This window comes from Homo sapiens, chromosome 7 (assembly GCF_000001405.40).
Source record: "Homo sapiens chromosome 7, GRCh38.p14 Primary Assembly".
Lineage (NCBI taxonomy): Eukaryota > Metazoa > Chordata > Mammalia > Primates > Hominidae > Homo > Homo sapiens.
Window position 1 is genome coordinate 74662349 of NC_000007.14, and position 22397 is coordinate 74684745.

At 43.4% G+C, this 22397-nt stretch overlaps 1 protein-coding gene across 6 annotated transcripts in view, besides 4 other annotated features; it reads left to right on the forward strand.

The window, feature by feature from the left end:
- The window catches only part of GTF2I (general transcription factor IIi), a 102975-nt gene that overhangs the window by 4631 nt on the left and 75947 nt on the right, over positions 1–22397 (forward strand). The window lies entirely within an intron of this gene.
- Positions 395–474: an enhancer, noted in NCBI's record as "active region_26172". NCBI's record gives its function as "activates an Ori minimal core promoter by ATAC-STARR-seq in GM12878 lymphoblastoid cells {active_cell/tissue: GM12878}" and the evidence as "EXISTENCE:reporter gene assay evidence [ECO:0000049][PMID:35858748]".
- Positions 525–604: an enhancer, noted in NCBI's record as "active region_26173". NCBI's record gives its function as "activates an Ori minimal core promoter by ATAC-STARR-seq in GM12878 lymphoblastoid cells {active_cell/tissue: GM12878}" and the evidence as "EXISTENCE:reporter gene assay evidence [ECO:0000049][PMID:35858748]".
- Positions 2963–3012: an enhancer, noted in NCBI's record as "active region_26174". NCBI's record gives its function as "activates an Ori minimal core promoter by ATAC-STARR-seq in GM12878 lymphoblastoid cells {active_cell/tissue: GM12878}" and the evidence as "EXISTENCE:reporter gene assay evidence [ECO:0000049][PMID:35858748]".
- Positions 4660–4709: an enhancer, noted in NCBI's record as "active region_26175". NCBI's record gives its function as "activates an Ori minimal core promoter by ATAC-STARR-seq in GM12878 lymphoblastoid cells {active_cell/tissue: GM12878}" and the evidence as "EXISTENCE:reporter gene assay evidence [ECO:0000049][PMID:35858748]".

The window sequence follows — 22397 nt, forward strand, 5'->3', positions numbered from 1 at the left end:
CATAGGCATGCGCCACCATGCCTGGCTAACTTTGTATTTTTAGTAGAGACGGGGTTTCTGCATGTTGGTCAGGCTGGTCTCGAACTCCTGACCTCAGGTGATCCGCCTGCCTTGGCCTCCTTAAGTGCTGGGATTACAGGCGTGAGCCACTGCACCTGGACCCTTTTTTTTTTTTTTTTTTTTTTTTTTTTTGAGACACAGTCTTGCTCTATCGCCCAGGCGGGAGTGTAGGTGCGTGGTCTCGGCTCACTGCTACCTCTGCCTCCTGGGTTGAAGTGATTCTCCTGACTGAGCCTCCTGAGTAGCTGGGATTACAAGCACGCACCACCACGCCTGGCTAATTTTTTGTATTTTTAGTAGACACGGGGTTTCATCATGCTGGCCAGGCTTGTCTCCAACTCCTGACCTTGTGATCTGCCCGCCTAGGCCTCCCAAAGTGTTGGGCTTACAGGCGCCCTGTGATTTTTAGGTTTTTAAAATTATAATGGATTTCTTTCCGGGGAAAATAACCGCAGATAGGTGGGAGGAATGGTTTTAGTTTACAGTTGATGACCCCCCTCCTTTCCCCACCTACACCCTTAGGCGAGTTGTACACACTCCTCAGGGGATCCCAACTTCCATGGCCACTGTCCTATGTTCTGGCATTTTCGATGACCCATAGGTGGACAGGTTGTTATCATCTAAAGGAGCTGAACACTGAACAATTACTAAACACTTAACCTTTTCTGTTATTACTGGTTACCAGCTATTTGCATTGCATTTCACCTAATTCATTTCTACTGTTGTTTCATTCTTTGTTGATGACATGAATGTTTTATATAAACATGAGTTTTTGCAATATGCTTCATAACTGGGGTGGTATAATTAACACGAAATTGTTTTACCACTGGCTTAAATAGATGGATGTCAAATCATTTTTATGTCAGTCTAAGGGAAAGTATTTATTTATTTTTTTGAGATGGAGTCTCGCTCTGTGGCCCAGGCTGGAGTGCAGTGGTGCCATCTCAGCTCTCTGCAACCTCCGATTCCCGGGCTCAAGCGATTCTTGTGCCTTAGCCTCACGAGTAGCTGGGATTACAGGCATGTGCCACCATGCCCAGCTAATTTTTTTGTATTTTTCATAGAGATGGGGTTTCACCATGTTAGCCAGGCTGGTGGTCTCCAACTCCTGACCTCAAGTGATCCACCCACCTCGGCCTCCCCAAGTGCTGAGATTACAGGCGTGAGCCACTGCGCCTGGTTCGTTTATTGAGTGAAGGTTATTCATTGTTAATAACTGAAAGAAAGTAGAAAATACACCTAATCAGTTGCTTATTCTAATTGTAGAGTTGAGATACTTGGGAATCAGTAGGCTTAAGCTGGCAGCATAGCTCTATGAAGACTCATACTCGGTTAACTAAAGTGTATTGGGGCTACCTACCTGGGGGAGCAAAACGCCTTAGTGTCTTAGAAGATGTGTGTTTTTTTATTGCATTTTATTTTATTATTATTTATTTTTGAGACAGAGTCTCGCTTTTGTCACCCAGGCTGGAGTGCAGTGGCGTGATCTTGGCTCACTGCAACCTTCGCCTCCTGGGTTCAAGCGATTCTCCTGCCTCAGTCTCCTAAGTAGCTGGGACTATAGGCACCCGCCACCATGCCCGGCTAATTTTGTATTTTTAGTAGAGACGGGGTTTCACCGTGTTGGCCAGGTTGGTCTCAAACTCCTGACCTCAGGTGATCTGCCCGCCTTGGCCTCCGAAAGTGCTGGGCCACCGCACCCAGCCAAGGATGTGTGTATCCTGTAAAAATTGTGTGGGTACGTCATCGGAAGAGGTGAAGGTATTGTCTTGATAATTCTTCATTCTCCATTCTTGCCCTGTCGTCCTTTACTGTTGTCCTTTTGTTCTGGAACTCTCCCTGCTGTCTTCCTGTTTGTTTTCTCCTCTGTAAAATTCTTGTTTTGGTATTCCATGCCTGTTTCTGGCAGTACTCATTTGCTTTTTACCACTTTGGCCTACTGAGAAAGTAAGAGAAAGTTCAGTATAGCCAGGAACTGTCAGAGTTGTTGGAGGATTGACTCATTCTCCTTTGGTTGTAACTTGTTTCTGTTTTTGTTTTTTTGAGAAGGAGTCTCCCTCTGTCGCACAGGCTAAAGTGCAATGGCGCGATCTCGGCTCACTGCAACTCTCGCCTCCCAGGTTCAAGCGATTCTCCTGCCTCAGTCTCCTGAGTAGCTGGGATTACAGGTGTGTGCCACCATGCCCGGCTAATTTTTGTATTTTTAGTAGATACAGGTTTCACCATGTTGGCCAGGCTGGTCTCAAACTGCTGACCTCAAATGATCCACCTGCCTCAGCCTCCCAAAGTGCTGGGATTACAGGCATGAGCCACCACGCCTGGCCAACACTCTATGTAGGATTTTTAAAGAACTAGTTACTTAAAAAATATATCATGAGAGGGAAGACAAATTTATAAATTGAGAGAGGGTTTATAGCTTATGGCTAGCGACACAAGTTTGAAGTCTGACTGCCTGGATTCCAGTCCTGGCCCTTGCCGTTTCCTGCCTGTGCGACCTTGGGCATTTCACTTCATCTTTGTATGTTTCCCTATTTTTTGTTTTTTTTTTTTGAGACAGAGTTTTGCTCTTGTTGCCCAGGCTGGAGTGTAGTGGCGCGCCTGGCTCACCGCAATCTCCGCCTACTGGGTTCAAGCGATTTTCCTGCCTCAGCCTCCTGAGTAGCTGGGATTACAGGTATGTGCCACCACCACGCCTGGCTAATTTTGTATTTTTAGTAGAGACGGGGTTTCTCCATTTTGGTCAGGCTGGTCTCGAACTCCTGACCTCAGGTGATCCACCCGCCTCGGCCTCCCAAAGTGCTGGGATTACAGGTGTGAGCCAACAGTGCCCGGCCTATTTTTTATTTTTATTTTTATTTTTTGAGACAGTGTCTTGCTCTGTTACCCAGGCTGGAATGCAGTGGCATGATCTCAGCTCACTACAACCCCTGCCTCTCGGGTTCGAGTGATTCTTGTGCCTCAGCCTCCCGAGTAGCTGGAATTATAGGCATGCGCCACCACACCTGGCTAATTTTTGTATTTTTAGCAGAGACAGGGTTTCACCATGTTGGCCAGGCTGGTCTCCAACTCTTGACCTCAGATGGTCCGCCCACCTCAGCCTCTCAAAGGCTGGGATTACAGGCCTGAGCCACCACGCCTGGCCCCTATTTTTAAAAATGGAGTTGATAATAGAACATGTTTCGCTTCTAAGAGCTGTTGCAAGGATAGAGTTTAAGTGCTTAGGTTGCTGTCTGGCATGTAGTAGACACTCAAGAAATATTAGTCATAAAAGTACTATTATAAAGACTTTTGGGAAATTGAGGAAGCGAAAATTTTACTAGTAATATCGACTATGACGTTAATCTCCAAGAACTCTGGAGAATATGAATTGCAAGGGCAAGGACTTATTCCTCTGTGGGATTTTCCCCTGTGACTGTTACATTGTTTTTATGTTTTGTTTTGTTGAGATGGAGTCTCCCTCTGTCACCCAGGCTGGAGTGCAGTGGCGGGATCCCAGCTCATTGCAACCTTCACCTCTGCCTCCCGGGTTCAAGTGATTCTCCTGTCTTAGCTTCCCAAGTAGCTGGGACTACAGGCGTGCGCCACCATGCCCAGCTAATTTTTGTATTTTTTAGTAGAGAAGGGGTTTTACTATATGTTGGCCAGGCTGGTCTGGAACCCCTGACCTCAGGTGATCTGCCCATCTCAGCCTCCCAAAGTGCTGGGATTACAGACGTGATCCACCGCGCCTGGCCAGAGCTTGACAGTTGGATTGATGAAACCTGAGAATGTATGCTTTATATGTTGTTCATTTTAATTTGTTATATCTAGAAATTTAGCTCTTACTGTTGACTATAACACATACATGACGTGAGTAGAATTTTATCTAGATTGAGTTTTCAGACCGTAATTGGTTTCAAGAAAATAAATAAGGTATTGGAAGTGAACTAAAATTAGTAACTGGCTTTGGCATTAGACTTTAATGCACTTAAATTACATGATCTCATCTGTGAGATAATTTGACAGAGGAGGACGATGGCATGTATTATGTCCATATGAGGAAAGGGCAGAGAAATAGACCCTGCAAGATTCATTAGTGTTACTCCTTCCTCCTGTTCGTTTTCTTTCTTCGTTTTCCCCCCCGGTAAGCATTAAAAAAAATTTTTTTTGGCTGGGTGTGGTGGCTCACTCCTGTACTCCCAGCACTTTGGGAGGCCATGACTCACTTGAGGTCAGGAGTTTGAGACCAGCCTGGCCAACATGGTGAAACCCCGTCTCTACTAAAAATACAAAAAATTGGCCGGGCACGGTGGCTCACACCTGTAATCCCAGCACTTTGGGAGTCCAAGGCGGGTGGATCACGAGGTCAGGAGATCGAGACCATCATGGCTAACATGGTGAAACCCTGTCTCTACTAAAAATACAAAAAAAAAAAAAAAAAAATTAGCCAGGCGTGATGGCGGGTGCCTGTAGTCCCAGCTACTCAGGAGGCTGAGGCAGGAGAATGGTGTGAAACCGGCAGGCGGAGCTTGCAGTGAGCTGAGATCGCACCACTGCACTCCAGCCTGGGTGACAGTGTGACACTCTGTCTCAAAAAACAAAAACAAATTAGCTAGGCGTGGTGGTGCGCACCTGTAATCCCAGACACTCGGGAGGCTGAGGCAGGAGAATCACTTGAACCCTGGAGGCGGAGGTTGCAGTGAGCCAAGATCACGCCATTCCACTCCAGCCTGGGCCATAGAACAAGACTATGTCTCAAGGAAAACAAACAAACAAAAAAACACATCTCTACTGAAAATACAGAAGTTAGCTGGGAGTGGTGACAGGTGCCTGTAATGCCAGCTGCTTGAGTGGCTGAGGCATGAGAATCACTTGAACCCGGGAGGTGGAGGTTACAGTGTACCGAGATCTTGCCACTGCTCTCCAGCCTAGGCGACAGAGCAAGACACCATCTCAAAAAAAAGAAAATCCTGTAAGATGAATTTGTTCCTTTATGAAGAATAAATTTGTGTCTGCCATTTACACCGTGAATGCCTTTCTTTGGAGTGGTTCCTTGTAGTGTTTTTTGTTGTTGTCGTTGTTGTTAAATTGTGGTAACATATACTTAACACAAAAATTACCATTTTAACCTTTTTTTGTGGGGGGAGGGACGGGATGTCACTCTGTTGCCCAGGCTGGAGTGCAGTGGTATGCTTTTGGCTCACTGTAACCTTCGTGTCCTAGGGTCAAGACATCCTCCCACCTCAGTCTCCCGAGTAGCTGGGACTACAGGTGCATGCCACCACGTCTGGCTTGATTTTTTTATTTTTTGTGGAGATGGGGGTCTCACTATGTTGCCCAGGCTGGTCTCCAACTCCTGAGCTCAAACAATCTGCCTGCATCTGCCTCCCAAAGTGCTGGGATTAGAGACATGAGCTACCACACCCAGCCTGATTTTACCAAAAGAAACTTTTTTTTTTTTTTTTGAGACAGAGTCTTGCTTTGTTGTCAGGCTGGAGTTCAGGGGCATGATCTCGGCTCATGGCAACCTCCATCTCCCGGGTTCAAGTGATTCTTCTGCCTCAGCCTCTCAAGTAGCTGGGACTACAGGTGCGCACCACCACGCCCAGCTAATTTTTGTATTTTTAGTAGAGATGGGGTTTCACCATGTTAGCCAGGATGGTCTCAGTCTCCTGACCTCATGATCCACTTGCCTCGGCCTCCCAAAGTGCTGGGATTACAGGCGTGAGCCACCGCGCCCAGTCTTAACCATTTTTAAGTGTATGTATAGTTCAGTGGTGCAGAACTTTTTTTTTTTTTTTTTTTTTTTGAGACAGGGTCTTGCTCTGTTGCCCAGGCTGGAATGTAGGATATTATCAAGTTCATCTGTGTGTTAGAATCTCCTTCTTATTTAATCCTTCTTGTGGTTTTTGGAGTCTTTGTTTTGTAGCATGGCAAAGCCCATTGTGTGTGTGTGTGTGTGTGTGTGTATGTAAGAAGTATATATAATTATATTATGGTGTACTTGGAGAAGTGGAGCATGATGAAGAGTTTGATCCATAATATAACTGGTTATATAGAACCCTGTTTAGCAGACAGAGCCTAGGAAGTTTTCTGATTGTATAGGTTCTATGCTTTTGAGAATTCCTGCTTGTGTTTTGATCTCATTTCCATACACAGTCCTTAAAGATCATATTTATTTATTTATTTATTTATTTATTTATCGAGATGGAGTCTCACTCTGTCACCCAGGCTGGAGTGCAGTGGCATGATCTTGGCTCACTGCAACCTCCACTTCCTGGGTTCAAGCAATTCTCCTGCCTCAGCCACCTGAGTAGCTGGGATTACAGGAGCCGGCCACCACGCCTGGCTAATTTTTGTATTTTTAGAAAAGATGGGGTTTCACCATGTTGGCCAGGCTGGTCTTGAACTCCTGACCTCGTGATCCACCTGCCTTGGCCTCCCAGAGTGCTGAAATTACATATGTGAGCCACCGTGCCTGGCTAAGAAGGGATCGTTTAAATTTTTAAAAATACATTAATTTATTTTTATAGAGACAGGATCTCGCTGTGTTGCCCAGGCTGGTCTCAAACTCCTGGGCTCAAGTGATCCTCCCACCTCAGTCTCCCAAAGTGCTGGGATTCAGGTGTAAGCCACCACGCCCGGCCCAAAAGAAGGGATCTTTTATCATGTCGGGAACAGTAACTATTCATTTATTCAACATACTGATGGGCTCATCCTATGAGGCCTCAGAACACAGCATGTTTCTTGGAAAATACTGGCATGGGCAAATGACATTGTTGAGAGCTTCAGGATAAAGAATCTTTTAGTTTAGTTTGTATATCCAGACTAGTTTAGTTTTTTTTTTTTTTTTTTTTTTTTGAGACAGTCTCGCTCTGTCTCCCAGGCTGGAGTGCAATGGCACAATCTCAGCTCAGTACAACCTCCACTTCCTGGGTTCAAGCGATTCTGGTGCCTCAGCCTCCTGAGTAGCTGGGATTACAGGCGTGCACCACAATGTCTGGCTAATCTTTGTGTTTTTTGGTAGAGAACGAGGTTTCATCATGTTGGCCAGGCTGGTCTCAAACTCCTGACCTGAAGTGATCCGCCCGCCTAGGCCTCCCAAACTGTTGGGATTACAGGCGTGAACCATCGCTCCCAGCTGGAAGGTGACTTTTTTTTTTTTTGAGACAGTGTCTCCCTCTGTTGCCCAGGCTGGAGTGCAGTGGCACGATCTCGGCTCACTGAAACCTCCGCCTCCTGTTCAAGCTCTTCTCGTGCCTCAGCTTCCTGAGTAGCTGGGACTACAGGTGCACGCCACCATGCCCAGCAATTTTTGTATTATTAGTAGAGACGGGGTTTCACCATATTGGCCAGGCTGGTCTCAAATTCCTGACTTTGTGATCCACTCACTTCGACCTCCCAAAGTGCGGGGATTACAGGTGTGAGCCACCGTGTCCGGCCAAGGTGACTTTTTAAAGTTAAATTTTAAAACGATCTTTGAGGAGTAAATTTGACATAAGCAGGTGTTCATGCACAAATGCCTTAAAAGGTACACATACTTCATTTCAAAGCAGTTATTTATTTTGACACTTGTCTCATTAATTTTCCTGCTCTCTCAGAAAATAGGTTATTTTATTTAGCCGTGATAATTAATGCAGTTTGTTGGGAAATAAGCTATTTTCAATTTACCAGGCTTGGATTTGGTGAGTTTTTATGTAAATTAATAGATATATGTACATATATTTTTAAAATAACTATTTTAGTGAAGTTTAAATTATAAATGCTTGCTCATTCACTGAATGCTTTTGTGATGCACTTTATTAAGAATTGACATGCATTCTGATAACAACTTTGTAAGGTAAGTATGCAGACTGTTGTCATTTTCCAGACTAGTAAATTTGGGATTAAAGAATCCCAGGGTCACCTGTAAGATTTGAGACAGGACTTGAATTCAGAACTTTTGCCTGATTGCAAAGCTCACCTTCCTAATAGCTTTGCTCTGTTGCCTGCCTTCTGTGAACAGTGCTTTTAAAAAAGTAAAGATTGTCGGGTGTGGGTGGCTCACGCCTGTAATCCCAGCACTTTGGGAGGCCGAGGTGGGTGGATCATCTGAGGTCAGGAGTTTGAGACCATCCTGGCCAACATGGTAAAACCCCGTCTCTACTAAAAATACAAAAAATTAGCCAGGTGTGGTGGCATCTACCTGTAGTCCCAGGTACTCGAGGCAGGAGAATTGCTTGAACCTGGGAGACGGAGGTTGCAGTGAGCTGAGACTACGCCACTGCATTCTAGCCTGAACGACAGAGTCAGACTCTTTCTCAAAAAAAAACAAAAAAAAAACAAAAAAAAAAAACACCTCAAGAACAAAGTAAAGATGGACCTTTAGATAATAGCTACTTGATTTTCATTTTCTCTTCCAAATGGTTTTTCCAAAATCCAACTGAGTTTTAAATTTGGAGTCATGTCAAAGGGACACATTCTTTGTGTATTGGCAGAGTAAGCTGCTGCTGTTTAAAAATCTGGACTATCAATTTAAAAGTATAATTAATACATATGCAAAAATGGTGTCTTAAACTGTGGTGCAAGGAAAATAGGTCTTTCCGAATAGCTGGTAAGATTTTTCCTTGTTTGTTTTTTAAGGATGTTGTTTTGGCTACTGTGAAACTCAGAACTCAGAGCTGAACTTGTGATCCACTGATTGGGCAGATCCTTTTTTTTTTTTTTTTTTTTTTTTTGAGACAGAGTCTCACTCTGTTGCCCAGGGTGGAGTGCAGTGGCGTGATCTCAGCTCACTGCAACCTCAGCCTCCTAGGTTCAAGTGATTCTCTTGCCTCAGCCTCCCGAGTAGCTGAGATTACAGGCGTGCACCACCACACCCGGCTAATTTTTGTATTTTTGGTAGAGACAGAATTTCACCATGATGTCCAGGCTGGTCTTGAACTCCTGACCTCAGGTGATTTGCCCACCCTGGCCTCCCAAAGTGCTGGGATTATAGGCATGAGCCACTGCACCTGGCTAGATCTTTTCTTTATTATTTTGTCATTCTTTCCTTCACCTGGCTTTTTAAAAAAGTTAAATTTAGCTATTAGCTGTCTGAAGTGTCTTGTTTTTTTTTTTTCTTTAATGGGGTCACCATACTATAAAGCTTTAAGTACGAATACAACACAGTTGTAAATCGTTTCAAATCTTAACCCTTCAAATTTATTTTATTTTTTCTTGAGGGATATTTGTTATTTATTGATGTAAGTGCCAGCTTTATTTCAGCAGATAGAAATTAACAATTTTGTATCTTAAAATGTCAGCATACGCCCCTAGAAAAATTTCACAGCCGGCTGGCCATGGTGTCTCACGCCTGTAATCTGAGTACTTTGAAAGGCCACGGTGGGAGGACTGCTTGAGCACGGGAGTTTGACACCAGCCTGGGCAACATAGTGAGACCCTGTCTCTACCAAAAAATCAAAAAAATTAGCCGGGTGTGGTGGTGCATTCCTGTAGTCTCAGCTACTAAGAAGGATGAGGTGGGAGGATTGCTTGAGCCCAGGAGGTTGAGGCTACAATGAGCCATGTCCCTGCCACTGCATTCCAGCCTGGGTGACAGAGCAAGACCCTGTCTCAAAAAAAAAAATTCAAACCCTTGATTTAAAAATCAATCCTGATCAAAGATTTGGCCTAGGGATTTCTTATTTTATTTGGAAGTACTTGCCATTCATATATATGTATGAGTTATATATATTCATATATATATGAGTTAAAAATTAAAGTCAAATGAACTAAAATGAGTTCTTTGGCTCTATTTCTTATCTGCTGAAGTGTATATGTTAATATACATTAATATAAATCGTGATAGTTTATATCCTGTTATTAAATATTTGTAAAACAGAACCTCTGGCCGGGCACGATGGCTCTCGCCAGTAATCCCAGCACTTCGGGAGGCTGAGGCGTGCAGATATTGCCTGGGCTCAGGAGTTTGAGACCAGCCTGGGCAACATGGTGAAACCCCGTCTCTACTAAAATTACAAAAATTAGCCAGGAGTGATGGTGCACCCCTGTAATCCCAGCTACTCGGGAGCTGAGGCAGCAGAATCACTTGGACCCGGAAAGCAGAGTTTCCAGTGAGCCAGGATCGTGCCACTGTACTCCGGCCTGGGCAACAGAGTGAGACTCTGTCTCAAGAAAAACAAACAAACAAACAAAAAAAAACACAGAGCCTGTGAATTGCTGACCTAATTTATTTTCCTTGGGAAAATACCTAGTAAGCCTATGGAGATAAACTCTTAGAATTGAAGTATTGTTCATTATAAGCAAGGCATACAGAAGTCCTGCCTATTCCAGGTCTAGTGTAGTCTCTGGAGAACTTATCTTTTCTAAGATACTATGTACAGTAAACAGGAAGCTCTCTGTTGGAGGATATGTCAGAGCTGGAGATTGGACTAGAATACTGAAGACAATATCGACAACAATGACATTTTTTGAGAGTTTATGAGTTTACTGTTTTGTTTTTTTTCTTTTGAGACAGAGTCTCATTCTGCTGCCCAGGCTGGAGTGCAGTGGCACGATCTCGGCTCACTGCAACCTCTGCCTCCTGGGTTCAAGCGATTCTCCTGCCTCAGCCTCCCTAGTAGCTGGGACTACAGGCGCGTGCCACCACGCCCGGCTAATTTTTTGTATTTTTAGTAAAGATGGGGTATCACCGTGTTAGCCAGGATGGTCTCCATTTCCTGACCTCATGATCTGCCCGCCTTGGCCTCCCAAAGTGCTGGGATTACAGGCCTGAGCCACTGCCCCGAGCTGAGTTTACTGTTTTAAGTGCTACCTGCATTAACATCTTTAATCCTCATAGCAATCCTGAGATGTGAGGTAGGCACTATTATGATCCCATTTTAAAGTTGAGAAAAATGAGGTTAACTAATCTGAAAAATATAGTAAGGGACAGTGTTAATATAAAACTAGGCAGCCAGACAACTCCTGCTCTTAACTGCTATGTGGTTTTTGGATTTGTTTGTTTGTTTGTTTTTGTTTTGTCTGAGATGGAGTTTCTCTCTTGTTGCCCAGGCTAGAGTGCAATGGTGTGATCTGACCTCAGCTCACTGCAACCTCTGCCCCTCAGGTTCAAGCAATTCTCCTGTCTCAGCCTCCCGAGTAGCTGGAATTACAGGCATGCGCAGCCATGCCTGGCTAATTTTGTATTTTTAGTAGAGACAAGGTTTCTCTGTTAGTCAGGCTGGTCTCGAACTCCTGACCTCAGGTGATTGCCTCACCTCGCCCTCCCAAAGTGTTGAGATTACAGGGATGAGCCACCACGCCCGGCCTCTTTTTTTTTTTTTTTTTTTTGAGACCAGTCTTGCTCTGTCGCCAATCTAAAGTGCAGTGGTGTGATCTCAGCTCACTGCAACCTCCACCTCCCAGGTTCAAGCGATTCTCCCGCCTCAGCCTCCCGAGTAGCTGGGATTACAGGCACCCACCACCACACCCAGCTAATTTTTGTAGTTTTAGTAGAGACAGGGTTTCACCGAGTTGGCCAGGATGGTCTAGATCTCTTGACCTCGTGATCTGCCCACCTCGGCCTCCCAAAGTGCTGGGATTACAAGCGTGAGCCACCGCGCCTGGCATAAAACTATTTTTAAAAGAAGAAAAATAGCTACAAAATTTAAAAAGCAGGTAAAATGTACAACTAATATAAACCAGCTAGTGATCTATGACTTTTTTTTTTTTTTTTTTTTAACAGGGTCTTGTTCTGTCTCCCAAGCTGGAGTGCAGTGGTGTGGTCATAGGTCACTGCAGCGTCGAACTCCTAGGCTCAAGTGATCCTCTTGCCTCAGGCTCCTGAGTAGCTGGGACAACAGGCGTGTACCACACCTGGATACTTTTTAAATTTTTGGTAGAGAAGGGATCTCACTCTATTGCCAAGCTGGTGTCGAACTCTTGGTCTTAAGCAGCCCTCCCACGTCAGCATCCCAAAGTGTTGGGATTTCAGAGGTGAGCCACGGCGCCCAGTCTGAGTCACTTTTAAACTTAGAAAATAGTTGCAAGAACAGCAAATAAACAAAACTTGCTCACATATCTTTCACGTAGAGACTTGCATTCAAGTTCTGCCCATCGTTTTGGTGATGGATGTCCTTTATTGCAAGACTGTAATCCAGGATCACATTTCCACCCAGTTTCCTTGCCTCTCTAATATACTTTTTTGAGATGGAGTTTCACTCTTGTTGCTCAGACTGGAGTGCAGTCGTGCAATCTCAGCTCACTGTAACCTCTGCCTCCCGGTTTCAAGCAATTCTCCTGCCTCAGCCTCCCGGGTAGCTGGGATTACAGGCATGAGCCACCACGCTCAACTAATTTTGCATTTTTTTTTTTTTTAGTGGAGACGGGGTTTCTCCATGTTGGTCAGGCTGGTCTTGAACTCCCAACCTCAGGTGATCCGCCCACCTCGGCCTCCCAAAGTGCTGGGATGATGGGCATGAGCCACTATGCCCAGCCCTCTAATATATATATATATTTTTTTGAGACGGAGTTTCACTCTTTCACCCAGGCTGGAGTGCAGTGGCACCATCTCAGCTCACTGCAACTTCTTCCTCCTGGTTCAAGCGATTCTCCTGCCTCAGTCTCCCAAGTAGCTGGGATTACAGGCACCTGCCACCACACCCAGCCAATTTTTGTATTTTTAGTAGAGATGGGGTTTTGCCATGTTGGCCAGGCTGGTGTCGAACTCCTGACCTCAGGTGATCCACCCACCTCGGCCTCCCAAAGTGCTGGGATTACAGGTGTGAGCCATCCATCCCGGCCTAATATACTTTATTTTAGAACAGTTTTTCAGTGTTTTGAGTTTCATTCATGCCCTTGACCTTTTTGAAGACTAGAGGCATTTTTATAGACTGTCTCTTAACTCAGGTTTGTCCAGTGCTTCCTCATGCTTATATTGAGGTTAAGCATTTTGAGCAGGAATATCCATGTTTTCCTTGCATTTTGTTGGGTGGGACGTGGTGTTTGTCTGTCTGGAGACTAGTGTTAACTTTGATGACTTGGTTACGATGGGATGTGCCATGTTCTCCTTTTTTTTAAAAGAATGAATATTTTTAAAAGAAGAAAAGTAGCTATGAACTAGTATTTTGTGGTACAATACTTTGGCAAAATGAAAATATCTCCTTTTAGTATTGAGGAATCCTATTTCTTTGAGAGGCTGTTTTTTTTGGGGGGGGCAGAAGGTCAGTTCATAGACTTAAATACCATTATAGTTGTTGTCTAAGCCCTTGAAAACTTAATGTTTTTCTAAAGTTTAAATTTGTAGATAATGGAATTTGAAAAATATTTAAAATCGGATTAAATTTTACAGTGTATAGTGTGGTTTGAAAGAGAATGGGGGGCTGGGCGCAGTGGCTCACACCTGTAATCCCAGCACTTGGGAGGCCGAGGTGGGCAGATCACTAGAGGTCAGGAGTTGGAGACCAGCCTAGCAAACATGGCAAAACCCCGTCTCTACTAAAAATACAAAAATTAGCTGGGCATGGTGATGGGCGCCTATAGTCCCAGCTACGCAGGAGGCTGAGGCAGGAGAATCGCTTGAACCCGGGAGGCAGAGGTTGCAGTGAGCCAAGATCATGCCACTGCACTGCAGCCTGGGTGACAGAGCAAGACTCCATCTAAAACAAACAAACAAACAAACAAACCAAATAAAAAGACAGAGAATGGGGAATTGAGGACATCTAGTCAGTTGGATAGATCTGGATTCTATTCTTAGCAATTCTGTGATCTTGGGCAATTTACATTGTCTTTTAAGTTATCAGCTGTTCTTAGGTTATAAAAAGATCCATTTTGTAAATTGTGTCAAGCAGATGTCGACCATTTATAATAAACTTATCAAGATATGAAGTTAATTTCTTTGCTGTCATTCGAAAGACAAACTGATAGGGTCAGCAAACTACCTTAAACATGTTCTCATTAAAACAAAAATTAAAAACACAGCTCCTATAGCCAGACGTGGTGGCAGATGCCTGTAGTCCCAGCTAATTGGGAGACTGAGGTAGGAGGATCCTTTGAGCCCAGGAGTTTGCAGCCATCTTGGGCAACATAGTGAGACCCTTATCTGAAAAACAAACAAACAAACAAACCAAAACCCTAGCAAAGCACATTTTCTATAGAAGCTACTCAGTGGACATAATTAAAACAAATGGTAGTATCTTGAAAAAATTAAGACATTTAGTGTGAACCACATGTCTAGAAAAAAAAATTAAATAGAAAACATTAAGATATTTACAAAGTCTGTGTTTACAATCTGAACTGATTATATTAAATGTATACTGACATTTTAGGGATGAATAAATTTCCTTCTGAAAAACAGATTTTAGTTTTGGCTTTTAGTACTTAATAATTATAGGGAGAACATGGAAATATTAAATACCAACAATTTGGCTGGGCATGATGGCTCATGCCTGTAATCCCAGCACTTTAGGAGGCTGAGGCGGGCAAATCACTTGAGGTCAGGAGTTCAAGACCAGCCTGGCCAACATGGGGAAACCCTGTCTCTACTAAAAATACAAAAAAAGCTAGCTGGGTGTGGTGTCAGGTGCCTGTAATCCCAGCTACTCCGGAGATCCAGCCAGGAGAATTGCTTGAACCCAAGAGGTGGAGGTTGCAGTGAGCCGAGATTACGCCCCTGCACTCCAGCCTGGGCGACAGAGTGAGACTCTGTCTCCAAAACAAAACAAAAACAAAACAAAAAACCGAAAAAACCCCAACAGTTTCAGAGATGAAAAGATTTAGGCGGCCTAAAAGATTGCCAAAATGTAGTATTACATGATAATCTAAACTAGTTTTAATGCAGCTGAATCCTGGTTTAGACTAAAGTCAGCTGATTGAACTACTAGTATTAGATCTTTTGGATTTATTTTAAGCACTATTTTAGGACAAAATATCTAACATTTTACTTGATGAATTTTAACTTTTTCTTACCACTCATTGTTTTGAAGAAATTACTTTGTAAAAGTTTGAGATGTCACTAATTTTTCCCTTGGCATTAAGCGATACATGAATTCATTTTATTCTTCTGACTGAGGATGTTTCTGTTAGTGTATACATTCAAGAATATGATGATGCCATTAGTCATTTAATTTTGTTGAAACTTGGCTTTAGTGGCTGTTAATAAAATGAATTGGTTGGCCAGGTGTGGCACTTTGGGAGGCTGAGGCGGGCAGATCACCTGAGGTCAGGAGTTCCAAGACCAGCCTGGCCAACATGCTGAAACCCCATCTCTACTAAAAAAAAGAAAATTAGCCGGGCGTGGTGACATACACCTGTAATCCTAGCTACTCGGGAGGCTGAGGCAGGAGAATTGCTTGAACCCAGGAGGCGGAGGTTGCAGTGAGCCAAGATCACGCCACTGCACTCCAGCCTGGGCGACAGAGTGAGATTCTGTCTCAAAAAAAAAAAAAAAGTAAATTTGGGTTTTACAGTTTTTCCTCTTATACAAAAGATAACTGGAGACTAGATCTCAAAGAATGAAGACAGCTGGAAAGCTGGAAGACACCAGAAAACCAAGAAAGAGAGAACTTCCCTGAAATACTGGCCAAGGCAGAAGTGCATCCACCAGTACTGCAGACTCACCGCTGTAGTCCATTTTTTGGAATAGGGGGACAAAAACTTAGGTTTGGACGGAAAATTTCTCTGGTAAAAGTATTATTTCTGTCTGTCTCTCTCTCTCTCTCTTTAATGGACACGGGCTTACTCTGTCACCCAGGCTGGAGTGCAGTGGTGCCATCATGGCTCACTGCAGCCTTCACCTCCTGGGCTCAAGCCATCCTCCTGTCTCGGCCTCCCAGAGCGCTGGGATTACAGGTGTGAGCTACTGAGCCCGGCTTTTTTTTTTTTTTTTTTTTAACTCAAGCCTGTTGAATAATTACAGAATTGAATACCATTACCTGTCTTAAATACTGTCTTCCAGGGACAATATCCTAGTGGCAATTATTTTAGCTAATTTTGAAGGTTTTTCTCAGTTTTTATTCATCTAAGCATCTAGGGGTTTAGTGATTATTGTCTGAATGCAAAACATTGAGTTAAGAAAGATACTGATTTTTGCAGTCTTGAGTTTATCTCGCCTTCCTTAAGTAAAGGTGCAGTGTAGATCTTCATTGCTTATTACAAGTAAAAATAGTAGCCTGTAGAAATTTGTGCAGAAGAAAATAAAATAATGGGCCTGGTGTTTCTCATCAGTTTAAATCCATTTCACCTTCGTTGAGACTGAGTCTTCAGTCTTTTAGGTGGCGAGTCAAGGTTTTACTAATTTAAACTATTGTCTAAATTCAGGGCTGTCTTTCATTGTTAAAGGAGATAGTTTGCCTGACAGTACCTGGAAGCAGTGTTTTGTGACATAAGTAATGTGTTCACCTAGATAATCGGTCTGTAACCTACTCATATATATATATTTTTTGAGACAGAGTCTCGCTCTGTCACCCAGGCTGGAGTGCAGTGGCGCGATCTCGGCTCACTGCAACCTCCGCCTCCCGGGTTCAAGCAATTCTCCTGCGTCAGCCTCCTGAGTAGCTGGGAATCCAGGTGTGCGCCACCATGCCTGGCTAATTTTTGTATTTTTAATAGAGATGGGGTTTTAGCATGTTGGCCAGGCTGGTCTCGAACTCCTGACCTTGTGATTTGCCCACCTCAGCCTCCCAAAATGCTGGGATTACAGGCATGAGCCACCGCGCCCAGCTATATTTTTAAAAATTTTTTAATTTTTTGAGATGGAGTCTCACTCTGTTGCTCAGGCTGGAGTGCAGTGGCGTGAACTTGGATCACTGCAACCTCCGCCTCCCGGGTTCAAGGGATTCTCCTGCCTCAGCCTCCTGAGTAGCTGGGATTACAGGCGCCCACCACACCCAGCTTATTTTTGTATTTTTAGTAGAGATGGGGTTTCACCATGTTGGCCAGGCTGGTCTCGAATTCCTGACCTCAAGTGATCCACCTGACTTGACCTCCCAAAATGCTGGGATTACAGGCGTGAGCCGCTGCCATATTTTCCATTTATTTTTTTTTTAACCAAATGCCTTATTTTCTTAGAATGTGACTGATGCTGATACAGAAAGTTCAGTGTCCACTATCATCTTTGCTTTCTAATGAAAAGGATATTATACTTTGCTTCAGTCAGTTCGTTTATGATGAGTGGCAGTTAATTCTCTGCTGAAAGACTGTGTAGTATTATAGTTGCAATCACTGTCTAATTATTTACCTTGTGTTGATTATGTTTTTAAAACCTGCCATTCTTTGATTGTTATTATGCATTAAAAAGGCAGTTTGGTCTTGAACTCTAGACCTCAAGCGATCCTCCTACCTTGGCCTCCCAAAATGCTGAGATTACAGGTGTGAGCCACCACACCTGGCTGTAAAGAGGCAATTTGGAATTTAGAGAGGGATTCTAGTCCCTTGTTAAAGAACTAACTCTAGGCTGTGCACAGTGGCTCTCGCCTGTAATCCCAGCCCTTTCGGAGGCCGAGGCAGGCAGATTTCCTGAGGTCAGGAGTTCAAGACCAGCCTGGCCAACGTGGTGAAACCCCATTTTTACTAAAAATAGAAAAATTATCTGGGTGGTGGCGGACACCTGTAATCCCAGCTACTCAGGAGTCTGAGGCAGGAGAATCGCTTGAACCCGGGAGGCAGAGGTTGCAATGAGCTGAGATCACACCATTGTACTCCAGCCTGGGTGACAAGAGCCAGAGTCCATCTCAAAAAAAAAAAAAAAAAAAAATATATATATATATATATGTATGTATGTATGTATATACACATATATATATGTATGTATATACACACATATATATAATTTTATATATTTATTTATATATATTTGTGTATATATATTATAACATGAAAAAGAAATAGGGCATGAATGTAATTTAAATAAAAGAGTGTTCTAGCACCTGCCCACTTGCCAGTCTGACTGGAACCTTGTTTTGAAGCAGAAATGTATTGAAAGTTCAGAAGTATCTCAGAGAACAGCATCATAAAAAATATTAAGAACCTCAGTTTTTATGAGGGTAATGATAAGGTTTGTAAAAATCTTCAAGCGCGTTCTTCCTTTCACTCACTATAAAATATTTTTTTTTGTCTGGGTGCAGTGGCTTATGCTTTTAATCCTAGCACTTTGGTAGACTGAGGCGGGAGGATCATTTGATCTCAGGAGTTCGAGACCAGCCTGCGCAACATAGTGAGACCCGATCTCTACTAAAAATACAAAAAATTAGCCGGGCGTGGTGCTGCAAGTCTGTAGTCCCAGCTAGTAGGGATGCTGAGGTGGGAAGATCGCTTGAACACAGGAGGTGGAGGCTTCAGTTAGCAGTGATGGTGCCACTGTACTCGTCCAGGCAACAGAGTGAGACTTTGTCTCATAAAACCCAAAACCAAATGTTGTTGTGTGCTGTTTGGTATTAACAGCAAGGAATCAGATAATTAAAGCAGAAGTACAGACAAAAAGAAAATTTTATGGAATTAGTTATTGGCTTATTTTGAGGAAGAATGGATCAGAACAGCAAGGACACGGATAAATCTAATACCTGAAATGGATCTCCAACAGGAAACTCGAGGATTTCAAACAATGGCTAGAGTCTTGTTTTCAGAGATAAAGAAGGCATCACATATACAGTAGCCAACCAGAATCGGAGATAAACAATGAAATAGCAACAGGCCAATTGAGTTCAACTTTGAAACTCATGAAGGAGAATTAAAATCAAATCAGGGAAACGAAAGGTGAAGTCAAAAAACGTTGAGAATAGAAGAACTGAGGAGATTGAAAAAATGGGAGGCTGGGCGCAGTGGCTTATGCCTGTAATCCCAGCACTTGGGGAGGCCAAGGCGGGCAGATCACCTGACGTCAGTAGTTCAAGATCAGCCTGACCAACATGACGAAACCCCATCTCTAAAAAAAATACAAAAATTAGCTGGGTTTGGTGGCAGGCACCTGTAATCCGAACTACTTGGGAGGCTGAGGCAGGAGAATTGCTTGAACCTGGGAGGCAGAGGTTGCAGTGAGCCGAGATCGTGCCATTGCACTCTAGCCTGGGCGATAGAGCAAGACTCTGTCTCAAAAATAAAAAAAAAGAAAAAAAGAAAAAAAAATGGGAAAGAAGGCATACCAGGCTCACATAGCTGTTATTTTTTGTGTGTCTGTTTAATCACAGTATATCCCGTGTCATCTTGTTCTGACCAGCCCACAGTAATTGGGTTTGGGTAGGCTCATGACACATATGCCCAGATCTTTTACACAAAATGTAATGGGAAGGCTGGGCATAGTGGCTTACGCCTGTAATCCTAGCATTTTGGGAGCCCAAAGCAGACGGATCAACTGAGATCAGAAGTTCGAGACCAGCCTGGCCAACATGGCAAAATCCTGTCTCTACTAAAAATACAAAAATTAGTCAGACGTGGTGGTGCACGCCTGTAATCCCAGCTACTCGGGAGGCTGAGGCAGGAGAATCACTTGAACCCAGGAGGTGGAGGTTGCAGTGAGTTGAGATTGTGTTACTGCACTCCAACCTGGGCGATAAGTGAGACTCCGTCTCAAAAAAAAAAAAAAAGTAATGGGAGGATGTGATAGTTCTCTGCCTCTGGGATCACAGGACAGGAATGTGGTACGCATGAAGGTGCATGTGGCTGTCAGGTCTGCCTTAGGGAGGACACCCTTCTGCTTAAGCTGAGAGAATTCTAATGACTTATTTTGTGGTTTTGGATCTAGCTATATGTGGAGCCAGTATAACCTTTAGACTTAATTAATTAAATGAAGCAATAAAAGTTCTCTTTTGTACTTGATCTTGTTTGAATTGGGAATTGGTAACCTCGCAATCTAAAGTAGTTCTGGCTAATTCATAAATTGTTCTTGAGAATAAAGGATATGGAAGGTATGGTTCCCAGAGTTGGTGAGGTTAGTTATTCTTACTGAAAACAACCAACACTGTTGTAAAATTATAAAACAAAACTTTTGTGAAAACACCAGAAAGTTGAAAAGTAGAGAAAATTTGAAGGGCTGGGTTATGGGAACTCAATTGACAGAAGTGAGAATTACTCTTGTCCTGAAGGCAAACATTTCACCACTTGACCTTGAGTTTTAAAAGCTTTGTGGGGTGAGAGACTCAGAATAGTCTGCATCCTTACTTGTGGCCTGGGTTAACTTCTACTGGGTGGGCCAAGGAACCAAGTCTCGAACTTGGATTAGAGTGATTCTAGGCAGGTGTTGTCTCTTGACACCTGGAGGAAGCTGCCTTCACCCTAGGCTTAAGATTATAAGTAATTTTTTCACGTAAAATAACTAACTCACTAAGATAATTAGGCATAGAAGGGAATAAGAACCATGCATAAGGGTAAGAACCACTGGGAACAACAGAAATAGTCCTGCAAAAACTTGAGATTTGGAATTATCAGAGACTATAAAATAACTGCCCCATTACCAAAGAAATATGACAATCTTGAAATTCCTTAGAGAGTAGGAAACTATAAAATATGACTTAGCAGTAACTAGAAATCATAGAAATGAAAATTACAAACAAAATTAAAAACCGGATAGGTGTTTTAACAACAGAATAAAAAGATGAAGAAGGAGTTAGTGAAATGGAAGGTAAGCCAGAAGAAATAATTGTTTAGTATGGAGAAGAAAACGTAAAAAAAGGTAAGAAGCTAAAAGGATAAAGTGATGACTAACATACATTAATGTGAGTCCCAGTAGGATAGGAGATAGAGAATGGGGCAGAATCTAAAGAGACAATAGCTTAGAGTTTTCCACATCGAAGGATACCATTTCATAGTTAAGCCCATGAATGACAGACATATGTTTAATAAAAATAAAATCTACACCTAGAATACACAGTGAAACTGTAGAAAACATCTTAGACAAAGAAAACCTCTTAAAAACAGCAGGAGTAGGAATGGGAATCACCTAAAAAGAGACCGTAGATTACTTCTCAATAGCGACAGTGGAAGCCAAAATATAATGACACCAACAGATAATGAAATAACCTTAGTGTGCTGAAAGAATATAATTGTCAACCTAGGTTTCTATTCCAGCGAAAATACCTTTCAAGAAAAATTTTTTAGCAAACAAAAACAGTTTGTCACCAGAGGACAGCAGGAACACAAAAGAATGAGCAAATTATGTCATAAATACGTGGTTACATCTAAAGGAAAATTAAATTAAGCAAAAATAGTGTTGCATCTAAAAATACAGAATTAGGCCGGGTGCGGTGGCTCACGCCTGTAATCTCAGCACTTTGGGAGGCTGAAGCGGGCAGATCACCTGAGGTCAGGAGCTCAAGACCAGCCTGCCCAATGTGGTGAAACCCCATCTCTACTAAAAATACAAAAATTACCCGGGTGTGGTGGCGGGCGCCTGTCATCCCAGCTACTCGGGAGGCAGAGGCAGGAGAATTACTCGCACCCAGGAGCTGGAGATTTCAGTGAGCCAGGATCGTGCCACTGCACTCCAGCCGGGGCAACAGAGCGAGACTCCTTCCCCCCACCAAAGAAAAAAAAAACTTAAAAACTCGTACCTAGTTGCATTCCTTATGAGCACAGAGCAAAATGTCCTCATTTTACCTGGTTTAATTTTTTTTTTCTTCCACGGCCTCTTTTACTGGGAGACCTCTGAGTTTTGATGTGTCATGACAGATAGGAGAGGTCATATCCTTGTGATTTGTGGTTCATTGCTGGTGACATCAGAAAGTAAAGTCAACCAGGAAAAGACTCCATGGGCCTGGCTCAGGTGGCTTCTGGAGCACCACCTCCATCAAGGAGCTTTTCCTGGGGTCCATGTGTAGTCCATGTTGCCTGCTCTCCCACCCAGGGTTGCTGTGCTTATTATACAAGATGGCCAATAAAGCATGACATATATTCAATAAATGTTCATTTCTTTTTCCAACCCTTCTTATTTTAAGTTGAGGGTATTCATAAAAGGGATTGAGCATTTCCATTTATGGACGAGGCAACTGAGTACAGCCCCCAGGGGCACGCAGCGAGATGGCTGTCTGCTGAACCCATACACCAGCTCTCTAGGCGTTTGGTCCTGTGGGGACCGGTGCATCAGATGCTTCCTAAGCTGGCGTCACCTGCCTGGCCCGATGCCTCCTCTGGTGTTCATTGTTTAATTAATGCCACCTCCTGATGGCAGTTTCTTTCTGGGAAGAGGAGAAAAGAGAGCCGTCCCCAAGTGAAGGGTGCAGGGAAGCCTCCACGAATAGTTTCAACTAAGGACTGTCCCAGGAAGGAAACTCTTGGGATGGGCAAAGAACAGCGAACTTCCGGTGTGACCCGGATGCACCCATTTCCAGAGAGCAGGAAGCACAGAGAAGGCCCGTGGGTCGCCCTTGGGGTGCTTTCCATCCTGCAGGGCTCGCTGCCTGCCCTGAAAG